Raw genomic sequence first — 12,456 nt, forward strand, 5'->3', positions numbered from 1 at the left:
CTCAGGCTGGGGTTTAATGGCATGATCTCCGCTCACTGCAACCTCTGCCTCCCGAGTTCAAGTGATTCTCCTGCCTCAGCCTCCTGAGTAGCTGGGATTACAGGTGCCCGCCACAATGCCCTGCTAATTTTTTTTGTATTTTCAGTAGAGATGGAGTTTCATCATGTTGGCCAGGCTGATCTTGAACTCCTCACCTCAGGTGATCTGCTTGTCTCGGCCTCCCACAGTGCTGGGATTACAGGCGTGAGCCACTGCGCCCAGCGACTCCTAATTCTTTGAAAATTGAGGCTGGGCACAGTGGCTCACACCTGTAATCCCAGCACTGTGGGAGGCCGAGGCGGGCGGGTCACCTGAGGTCAAGAGTTCAAGACCAGCCTGACCAATATGATGAAACCCTGTTTCTACTAAAAACACAAAAATTACCCGGGCATGGTGTCATGCGCCTGTAATCCCAGCTACTTAGAAGGCTGAGACAGGAGACAGGAGAATCCCTTGAACCCGGGAGACGGAGGTTGCAGTGAGCCGAGACTGCGCCATTGCACTCTAGCCTGGGCAACAAGAGCGAAACTCCATCTCAAAAAAAAAAAAAAAAAAAAAAAAAGGAATTAGGAGTCAATGAAGAAAATATTTTAGGCAATGAAAAGCAGGTATTACAGGTGACAGCCGTACCCAATTCTACAAAGGCAAAGCTTTTATCACAGCAACATTTTAAGAGCTGAGCAACACTGCCTACTGAAGCAAGTACCAAGGTCTGGATCTAAGTCTGATATTGCCTTGCTGTATAACCCTCGGCAAATCACTTAACTTCTTTATGTGCCAGTTAAAACAGCAGCTCTGTTTATATTCTATTTGTCTCAAAAGTAGCACTAAATGAAAATGTAAAATATATTTTTTAGTCATCCAAAGAAAAATATTAAAACTACATTTCATCTGATAAATGTATTCTTGCACAGACATCTGAATTTGGAATTAGTATTATTTCAAAATATCTCACAAAACTTATGAGTTAATGAGATCAATTTACCTCCATTTCCATGCGACCCATGCCCATGACATCATACTTGACAACGATTGGAATGGGATCTGTTCTCCCTGTAACAGGAACACATAATCAAGGTAAGGTGCAAAGCCAAACCAACAGCTCATTTTACACATTGGGTTTTGGGTGGTTAGAGATCTTGCCTTGGAGTGCAGAGACCAGAAAGCTACAGTGAACCAAACACAAGCCATTCTCACAGCTTACACTCAAGACCTTCCTTTCCTAGTTTAAACCCAATTAACCACCTTGGCTGACGTCCAGTTGGGATTAATTTCAAATTACTATGGCAAAATTACATTAATAAGTAATGCAAAGCACTTTTAAGCAATGGCATCAGGAGGTTTAAATTGTAAAACTTTAAAAATTCCTTTTAAGATCCCCAAATAACTTCCCATCAAGTATCACTTTACTCTGCCCACTGATATCCTCCTACACAACTTTTTAACCTAGTTTAAAAAAAAAAATCTCAACTGGCATGGTTAAATAGAAAAAGTACATTTTTAAACATGATGCAGTAAAACTTTATAATTACAACTCAGTATGTTGAATTTGTTTTCAAAAGATGCTTTACAATTTTTTTTGATGTTCCTCATAGACTAGGAGATGCTTTACAATTTAATGGGGCTGTGAAAAGTTTAAATAAAAAGAAACAATTAGTTGCCCTTAGAGAAAAGAATAGTTTTCCTTTTAATCTGGTGCTCTAAAGTCCCATTTCCTAGAGTGGATTTAACACTGGCTGCGAGGGTAACTGGTAAGCTGTGAAAAGGACTAGTTGCGAAGAAAATTGACTTTAAACTAATTGATCTATGCTGGATAATTTTTTTAATAAATATATATTTAATCCACTCATAACCAGCCAAACAAAGCAAAATGGGGCAGACAAGCACTTTACTACCACAGCTGTTTTACATCACAACCTGCGCTTTTTATTGTGATGTAAGCCCACTGAAAAGAGGACTTACCTTATCCGTTGTACACCTTTAGTGAAAAAACACAATGTTTACTTCCCTCATCATTTCACTCAGGCTGGTGTAAACAATTGGTTTTTTTGGTTGTGTTGTTGTTGTTGTTATACACACACACATATATATATACATATATTATACCTTTGGGCTAAAAATGGAGTTTTCTTAGGCTAAATCTGAGGCATTACCCTCCCAACCCCAAAAAAAACTTTTTAAAAAATAAATGCCATGATCATGACTGGTTTTGGTCCTGCAAAATAAAGAAGAAACCATGTTCAAAACGACCACAACCACTTGTACTCGGTGGCTCTATATTTGTGGAATTAATTTTTGCCTTTAAGATGGAATGAAAAACAAATTCATAAGTTTAACTACTTATGTATCCTATTATTGTTTTTAAACAATAAATAGGGAGAATTAGAATTATCACAGTAAAAAAACAAAACAAAAAAACCAAACCCAAACTGTTAAAGAACATCTCATGTCAGAAAAAAAAAAAAAACAAAACAACAACTTCTAGAATACAGCCTTCTTTTAGATACAATCAAAGGACTGCCAGTAAAGCAAAATGAAAATGCATTACTACCCTATGCCCAATGGTATAATAAATAAGCAGTGACTGCAATCTTTAGCAAAAGGACCAAATTAAAGACAGGTTATAAAAATGACTTCCTAGGTGCAATATCACTTTCATAACGTCTCAGTCAGGGATTTACTGGTAAAAACAAATAGTCCAATGAATGAATTAAAAAGAAATGTCAAAGCAATTTATTTTGGTATCTTTTTTGATCTGTCAGAATTCGTTTTGCAAGAATCAAGAAAGTTTTGGTACAAATTCATTACCTCTGTAAACCCCTGTTTATAAACTCTGCATTAGTACTTTTGCCTTCTAAGGCAGTCAAAGTTTGTTTTAATTTATTTATAAATTGCAGTAGCAAGTGCTAGTGCCCATTACATTGTGGGGAAATCAAGTTTTTGACAGTATTAGAATTTAATGTTTTAACTGATTTTATTGGCAGTTCTAACACAAACAGATACATCCCTTCTTAACATTACCCTTTAATGAACAAGGATCAGACAAGTTGCATAAGGAAAGGAAAGGAAAATGAAAAAGACCAAGCAGAAGGATGAAGGCTACAACAGAGAAAGTAAGCCTAACATATTGGTGCACTGATGACAAAAGGAGTAATTCAGTCTGAAAATAAAAAATTACCACTGCTAAGATTACCATCACCACAACAAGTCCAGGATCATAATGCTGTAAAAAAGAAATACCATTTGTTAGGCAGAAACCATTAGGGTAGGAAACAGGCCTTCTAGCAGGCAGACAGGATGGGGTAAAGTTAACAGTTGGGCTTTGTCCCTCCCCCAATCTCAGCCGGGGACAGAGGAAGGACATTTTGTGCTACAGCAGCTGTTTTCATACTGGTCAGACCAAGGTGTGAGATTTTTGTACTGCTACTTGAGAACATGAACAACACCCTCTTCAATAAGGCAGGGGGTAGGGTGTCAGTTTAAAGTAAGAGAACTAGCTCTAGTTTCCAATCTTTCATTTAACTATTCATTCTCGTAAATCAGTATTCAGGGCCCAAGGTAGGACTTTTAAAAGAAATGACATCTAAGACTCTATCAGATCAACTAACTGGACAGTAATCAAGTCATTTACTTCACCAAAAGAACTCTAGGAGGCTTGGAGTATGGGTGAGATGTCCGCAAGACTTCTCTAGAAATATATATATAAAACAATTAAGCAGTCTAGAAAATAATCTTAGATCTTCAGTGCTTGGAGAACTTTGTGCATTTGAATTCTGTTATGAATGAATACAACTCTTTAAGTGGCTCTCCTCAGAACTTTGCTTCCTGTTAACCGAGACTTCCCAGGCTGGCCAATATCCTTCTTTCAGCACACAACAAAACCAATCTTTGAAGGACAGCTCTAGAGAAACCGACATCACAAGAGCTGTCACATTTAAAATTACTCCACTCAGAGTTAACTCACAGAAAATAAACAGTATGACTTTCAAAGCAATCTTGAAGGTGACATTATTGCCTGGGCCAAGTAGTAATTTCTTAACATTATTAAAGAGGCTATAGACCAAGGAAAGATCCCAGTGGGAAAAGACACCAAACACTACATACAGGAAGAGGCTGCAGCATTAAAAAACAAAACAAAACAAAACAAAAAACCCCCTCAGTTTATTCAGTTGCTATCAATGATAATCCTAAAGAACATCACTTACAATATCTGAATACCAATTTGTAGTGATGACCTCAAAAGGTAGGTAGCAAGAGTGTCTGCTAATATGTATTCTCTAGAAAACTCAACTTTTTTTTTTTTTTTTTGAGATGGAGTTTCGCTCTTGTTGCCCAGGCTGGAGTGCAATGGCGCAATCTCAGCTCACCACAGCCTCCACCTCCTGGGTTCAAGCGATTCTCCTGCCTCAGCCTCCCAAGTAGCTGGGGCTACAGGCATGCACCACCGTGCCCGGCTAATTCTGTATTTCTCGTAAAGACGGGGTTTCTTCATGTTGGTCAGGCTGGTCTCAAACTCCCGACCTCAGGTGATCTGCCCACCTCGGCCTCCCAAATGCTGGAATTACAGGCGTGAACCACCTCGCCCGGCCTCAACTTCTTTTAAAAATAAAATCCAGGTTCCCTACTTCTTGGTTTCTTTTAAAATACAGCAAATATTATTTAAAATATATTAAATTAGTGAGAACATTTTTGTTGCTTGTTTCACTCCAAAGGAAGCAACTTCAACCAGAACACTAAATAATCTCCTTAAAAGAAACTGTCTTCCTCAGGAAAAGATCTACAGACACTTACTTGGCCAACTGGAGAAGGGAAAGGAAACACATGCAAAATCAAGAATATGCCAATATCAATGTATTAATCTGATGGAAAACAACTGATACTCATATTTTCTAAATCAAAACCTTAAATAATGTTTCACTAACTGGAATTACACATTTATTTTTTAGAGACAGGGTCGCTGAGGCTGGAGTACAGTAGCACGATCAGCTCACTGCAGCCTCCACCTTTCAGGCTCAAGTGATCCTCTTGCTTCAGCCTCCCAAAGCTCTGGGATTACAAGTGTGAGCTGCACATCAGCCTATTGCCTATTTTAAAAGGCAGTTTTACTTATGCAATAATAGAAATTCCTAAGTGCTCTCTTATATATGCAAGTCTTGCTAAAATGTGAAGGCATTATAACATAACTAAAGAAAGAATACAGTCAAACACAAAAACCCACTGATTATCACAGCCACTCTGTCATTGAGAACAATCCCTCAGGAATCAGTTCTGATTTTAAAATGGTTAAGGTTACATCAATCTACAAAACTGTCCTAAAGACTTAAACTACAGAGAAAGAACTCTTTTGTTGTTTTTTGGGAAACACCATTTTTTTTTGAGATGGCGTCTCACTCCGTCACCCAGGCTGGAGTGCAGTGACGCAATCTCGGCTCACTGCAACCTCCGCCTCCCAAGTTTAAGCAATTGTCCTGCCTCAGCCTCCTGAGTAGCCGGGACTACAGGTGCACCACTACACCCAGCTAATTATTTTGTATTTTTAGTAGAGACAGGGTTTCACCATATTGGCCAGGATGGTCTCGATCTCTTGACCTCATGATCTGCCACCTTGGCCTCCCAAAGTGCTGGGATTACAGGCGTGAGCCACTGCACCCAGCCCAGGGAAACACTATTTTTAAAGAGACAAACTCTAGGAATAGAACAACTGGGAAGAATATATTAAAGGACAACCATAATCTAGTAATCAGCCATACTTTAGAAACAGAAGACATATGATTTCCCTGCAGAAACAAATTAGAAAGGAAGAAGCTTCTACAGTGATTAAAACACTGGTTGAATTGTCAACAGATGTAAGAATACCACAATGTAAGATGTAAGAACACCACAATGCATCTCTGCTGCTTTCCCCTTACAGAGATTCAATACAAACATTTACAACAAATATTGAGTTTTGGCTAGGCATGGTGGCTCATGCCTGTAATCCCAGCACTGTGGGAGGCTGAGGCGGGCAGATCACTTGAGGTCAGGAGTTCGAGACCAGCCTGGCCAACATGGTGAAACCCCATCTCTACTAAAAACACAAAAATTAGCTGGGCGTGGTGGCGGGCACCTGTAATCCCAGCTACTCAGGAGGCTGGGGCAGGAGAATCACTTTAACCCGGGAGGCAGAGGTTGCAGTTAGCTAAGATTGCACCACTGCACTCCAGCCTGGGCAACACAACGACACTCCTTCCCCCCGCCCCCCAAAAAAATCAAAAGCCCGGGCACGGTGGCTCAGGCCTGTAATCCCAGCAATTTGGGAGGCCGAGGCGGGTGGATCACCTGAGGTCAGGAGTTCAAGACCAGCCTGACCAACATGGTGAAACCCTGTATCTACTAAAAATACAAAATTAGCTGGGCATGGTGGTGCATGCCTGTAATCCTAGCTACTTGGGAGGCTGAGGCAGGAGAATCGCTTAAACCCGGGAGGCGGAGGTTGCAGTGAGCTGACATCGTACCATCGCACTCCAGACTGGGCAACAAGAGTGAAACTCTGTCTCAAAGAGACAAAAATAAAATAAAATAAAATAATATATATATACACATATATATGTGTGTATATGTATACGTATATATATACATATATATATATATAGAGAGAGAGAGAGAGAGAGAAGGAGAGAGAGAAAGAGAGTTTCTACTATATTCAAGGCACTGTTCTGGGCACTGCATATAGTGATGATGTAAAAAAAAAAAAAAACACCACAACCGCAGCACCACGTTCCATGAATTACCAATAAATAGGCAAAATAGAGTAATCTGACCAGCTGGAACTTCAGCTGAGAATGAGAGAAAACAGAACATTTGTGAAGCTAATGCATAAGCAGTTAAAAAAGCTTAAAAATGTCTGAAGTTGTCTTTTAAAGATATCTAAAGTTGTCTTTAAAGACGACCTTAATGAAGTGCAAGTAAATATAAAAGCCATCAAAAAGTCACAAAATCCATGTTTTTTTTGAGACAGGATCTTGCTAAGTCACCCAGGCTGGAGTGCTGTGGTGCCATCTCCGCTCACTGTAAATTCCAGCTTCCAGGCTCAAGCAATTCTTGCCTCTAGGCCTCCTGAGTAGCTGACACTACAAGTGCCTGCCACTACATCTGGCTAATTTTTGTATTTTTAGTAGAGATGGGGTTTCACCATATTGCTCAGGCTGGTCTCAAACTCCTGGGCTTGAGTGATCTGCTCACCTCAGCCTCCAAAGTGCTGGGATTACAGGTGTAAGCCAATGAGCCCGGCCTAAAATCCACTTTCAAAAGACAATTAAAACTGGGCTGGGCTTGGTGGCTCACGCCTGTAATCCCAGCACTTGGGGAGGCCAAGGCAGGAAGATGCCTTGAGGACAGGAGTTTGAGACCATACTGGGCAATAGAGCAAGACTCTGTCTCTCCAAAAAATTTTTCTTAAAAAAATTAGCTGGGCATGGTGGCATGCACCTGCAGTCCTAGCCACTGAAAATATTGAGGCAGAAGGACCACTTGAGCCCAGGAGCTGGAGTGAGCTATCATCGCACCACTGCACTCCAGCCTGGGTGACAGAGAAAAACCTTGTCGAAAAAGAGAAAAGAGGGGAAAAAAGACCATTAAACTGATAAAGGCCAAGAACCTACACTGACATCTTTAAAGTACTTATTTCTTCTTTTTAAGTAATGCAAATACATATGTGAAAATCAAGATAAAAAAAATTACGCAGGTGATTCTCTGATTTGCAAAAGTATTCAAAATAGGATTCAAGTCATGTTAATGGACTTAAATATCATTTCATTTATTGAAACTGTGATCACATGAAACTTTCAGAAACACTGAATAAAAAATGGTACATTTATTTCCAAACCAAAGCTTAATTTTTGCAAATTTCTCCTGAAAATGAGTCTTTAGGTGGCATAGAAACAATTATTACTTTCAGCATCGTTTAGATATTTTTCTAAGCAACTCTAACATATGATATATGCTACCTCTCAGAAAACATTAACTGAAAACATTGAGCACATTACTTAATCCCTAGAGAGTTTTTAAGGTTTAAAAAAAAAGGAAAAACTTTCTACCCAAAATAGAGTTCAAATTATCCAGTACTACAAAAACCTACTATATTCTTGCCATGGCCTTTTTAGTGACCTATACAACAACCAAATTAATTTGATTTTTTTCTTCCTTTATTTATTTTTTAAAACAGGGTCTCACCATCGCCCAGGCTGGAGTGCAGTGGCATAACCACGGCTCACTGCAGCCTCAACCTCCTGGGCTCAAGTAATCCTCCCATCTCAGCTTCCTAAGAAGCTGGGACTACAGGTGCACACCACCACATGTGGCTAATTCTTGTTATTTTTTGTAGAGACGGGATTTCACCATGTTGCCCGCCCAGTTTGTTCTTGAACTTCTGAGCTCAAGCAATTTGCCCACTTTGGCCCCACAAGGTGCTGGGATTACAGACATGAGCCATGGTGCCTGGCCAATTTGATTTTCAAATACAGATGTTTTCTAAGGCACACAAGTTTAATTATGACCTAAACGAATTTCCATCTGATACTTTCCATCTAGGATAAAATAGTTCAATTTTAATCATATAACTAAATATATTAATAAACAGGAACAAAGGTGGGGCAAAAGGCTTTAGTGAAAGTGTTGTTAAATCAGAATGTTAGGCCTGGGAAGGATATCTCATCCAGGGATAACATGATATCCTCAAGCCCTTAGAAGAGATAATAAAGAGAATTCATGAGTTACTTTCAATTAAAAAAAAAAAACCTAAAGAAAATCATACTTTTACATGAGATACAACTGTTTTAGCTAAAATTATACTGACTCACTAAAGATTGCCTCAAGCTAACCACCATGCTAAGATCAATTTGTTTTTTCAAATGGGAAAGCCAAATTAATAAATACAATTTTGGGGTAAAATAGTCTAAAACATGGGGCTGAGGAGATACGGAAAAAAACAGTTAAGTCTTTAGTTTAAAGAAAAAAAAAAGGCCAGGCATGGTGGCTCACGGCTGTAATCCCAGCACTGTGGGAGGCCAAGGCAGGCAGACTACTTGAGGTCAGGAGGTCGAGATCAGCCTGGCCAACATGGCAAAACCTCGTCTGCATTTAAAATACAAAAATTAGCTGGGCGTGGTGGCATGTTCCTGTAATCCCAGCTACTTGGGAGGCTGAGGCAGGAGAATCACTTGAAACTGGGAGGCAGAAGTTGCAGTGAGCCGAGATCACACCATTGCACTCCAGTCTGGGGCAACAAGAGAGAATCTCCATCTCACGGGGGGAAAAAAAGTGGTAGCACTTTTGTGCCCTGAGTTTTACTTATGTTTATATCCATATCTGACACAGTATGTAGGCCAGAATGGCATTTAGTTAAAAAGCATTTGTTGACTCAGAGAATGAACATGTTCGTAGCGGGTCTGAAACTTGTTCAACTGTAAATACTTAGTCATCATGATGCGCGCCGCTTAACATCACAAGATACTAATGATTTAACTCTCATAATCAAGGAATTATTTTATCAAGTAGAACATATCACTATATTAGAAAGGTCTCCATATATCAAAAAATATGTAAACTTTTATAATGAAATATTTGAGTTTTACATTACTGGTCATTAGAGCCTTAAGGCTTGTTCAATTTCATTTCTTGTTATCACTCAGTAGTCAAGGAGAAGGAAGCATCAAATGTTTAAGAAAAAAATACTAAAGAACTTACATTCAACATATATCGACAAACTTTTAAAAAACTGAATTGGAAAGTTGCCATAACCAGTTTCAGTGAAGGAAAACCTCAAGTCAGCCCCCATAATAATGGTGTTTTCCAGGAAATTAGGTTTAGGGTAAGTGGTCTGTTAGAAATTCTGAAAACATTTTTCCTCTTTTTAAAAAACAGGTCACAGTAAAAATTAATGGCTTCCTTCAAGTACCCAGTACACTCCTATATACATGTAGGTAGACCAAAAATTACCAGTGAGCTCCAATCTATGTGAGTATTTCTTTTTCTTTTTTTTTTTTCCCCCCCTAAGATGGAGTTTCACTCTTGTTGCCTAGGCTGGAGTGCAACAGCGCGATCTCGGCTCACTGCAACCTTCACTTCCTAGGTTCAAGCGATTCTCCTGCCTCAAGCCTCCTGAGTAGCTGGGATTACAGGTGCCCGCCACCAGGTGGCTAATTTTTTGTATTTTTAGTAGAGACGGGGTTTCACCATGTTGGCCAGGCTGGCCTCGAACTTCTGACTTCAGGTGATCCACCCACCTCATACTCCCAAAGTGCTGGGATTACAGGCATGAGCCACTGTGCCCAGCCTACATGAGTATTTCTTGATTAATGAATTCCAAAAGAAAAAATATACTTGTAAAGAGTGGCAACATGAAACTCAGGGGATCTGAATTACAGTTCTGTCACTAATGGGGCATGTGACCCATTATTAGCTATTAATTTCTTTTTATTTTTAGAGACAGAATCTCACCCTGTTGCCTAGGCAGGACGGAATGCAGTGAAGTCATCATAGTTTACTGTAACACTGAACTCCTGGGCTCAAGTGATCCTCCCACCTCAGCCTCCTAAGTAGCTAGGACTACAGGCACTCACCACCATGTGTGGCTAATTAAAAAAAAAAAAATTTTTTTTTGTAGAGATGGTGTCTCACTATGTTGCCCAGGCTGGTTTCAAACTCCTAGCCTCGAGTTATCCTTCTGCCTCAACCTCACAAAGTGCTGGGATTACAGGTGTGAGTCACCATGCCGCCTATATTAGTTTCGTGATCCAAAAATAGAGGAGTTAAAGGCCAGGCGCAGTGGCTCACGCCTGTAATCCCAGCACTTTGGGAGGCCGAGGCGGGCAGATCACGAGGTCAGCAGATCGAGACCATCCTGGCTAACACGGCGAAACCCAGTCTCTACTAAAAACACAAAAAATTAGCCAGGCGTGTGGCAGGCGCCTGTAGTCCCAGCTACTCGGGAGGCTGACACAGGAGAATGGTGTGAACCCGGGAGGTGGAGCTTGCAGTGAAGCCGAGTTCACACCACTGCACTCCAGCCTGGGCGACAGAGTGAGACTCTGTCTTAAAAATAAAGGAGTTAGACAAATCTATAAGGTTCACTTCACAATTCTAAAGTTTGAAGAGTGGAAAATATTTGAGTAGAAAATATCTGGGGGGATTATGTAGACAGCAGCCAGTCTTGTGATACTATAATAAGCCAACAATCAAATGCCTTCTTAAACTTACTATTGTTTTTCCATAGCTACACTGAAAATTTTACTATTCCAGGATCACTCCATTACCCCAAAACTTTCCAGCCTCATTTAACTTTCCACTGCAACTCCTCCATTTCATCTATTTTTTTTTCCTTAAAGACTGAGTCTCACTCTGTCACCCAGGCTGGAGCACAGTGTCACAATCTTGGCTCACTGCAACCTCCGCCTCGCAGGTTCAAGTGACTCTCCTGCCTCAGTCTCCTGAGTAGCTGGGATTACAGGCATGCATCACCATGCCCAGCTAATTTCTTTGTGTTTTAGTAGAGATGGGGTTTCACCATGTTGGCCAAGCTGGTCTCGAACTCCTGACCTCAAGTGATCTGCCCGCCTTGGCCTCCCAAAGTGCTGGGATTACAGGTGTGATCCACCGCACCTGGCCTCCATTTCATGTTTAATAAAAAAAAATTTTTTTTTTTTTAAGACAGTCTCACTCTGTTGCCCAAGCTGGAGTACAGTGGCACACTCTTGGCTCACTGCAACCTCTACCTCCTGGGTTCAAGCAATTCTCCTGCCTCAGTCAGCCTCCTGAATAGCTGGGACTACAGGCACGTGCCACCATGCCTGGCTAATTTTTGTATTTTTAGTAGAGACAGGGTTTCACTATATTGGCCAGGCTGGTCTTGAATTCCTGACCTCGTGATCTGCCCGCCTCAGCCTCCCAAAGTGCTGGGATTACAGGTGTGAGCCACCGCACCCAGCCAATAAACTTCTTCCTATATTTTTCTAGGCAATCCCTAAAAAAGACTGGGCTGCAAAGCTTAGCTCTCCAATAAGAGATAATAGCTAGACACTTGTGTGACTTTTGGCAAGCAGAGCCTGAGTCTCAGCAGCCTCCTCTGCAAAATGAAAATATTATCACCACCTTTTTTTTTTTTTTTTTAAGACAGGTTCTAGCTCTATGGCTCAGGCTGGAGATTAGAGTGCAGTCACACAATCATAGCTCACTTGCAGCCTCAAACTCCTGGGCTCAAGCAATCCTCCTGCCTTAACCTCCCAAGTAGCTAGGGCTACAGGCATAAGCCATCACACCACACCTACCCCATCCCCCTTTTTAGGACTGGCATACAGACCAAAAGAGACAACAAATGGAAGATATTTTGTAAACTTTAAATCACTATGCAGAACGCTCAAGGGTTCAGAAAATAAAGAAATT

At 40.6% G+C, this 12,456-nt stretch overlaps 1 protein-coding gene across 14 annotated transcripts in view; it reads right to left on the minus strand.

The window, feature by feature from the left end:
* Nucleotides 1–12,456, minus strand: part of GPATCH8 (G-patch domain containing 8) — a 108,126-nt gene that overhangs the window by 40,173 nt on the left and 55,497 nt on the right. For 11 of the 14 annotated variants that reach the window (NM_001304939.2, NM_001304942.2, NM_001002909.4 and 8 more), the window contains one exon: nt 1,025–1,092. In NM_001304939.2, the coding sequence (NP_001291868.1) occupies nt 1,025–1,092 (68 nt within the window). Of the gene's footprint in view, nt 1–1,024; nt 3,263–12,456 lie in introns of those variants that run through there. The other 3 variants (XM_047435673.1, XM_047435674.1, NM_001304943.2) reach the window with 3 other exon arrangements.

The sequence above is a fragment of the Homo sapiens genome, chromosome 17, assembly GCF_000001405.40.
Source record: "Homo sapiens chromosome 17, GRCh38.p14 Primary Assembly".
NCBI classification, from domain to species: Eukaryota; Metazoa; Chordata; class Mammalia; order Primates; family Hominidae; genus Homo; species Homo sapiens.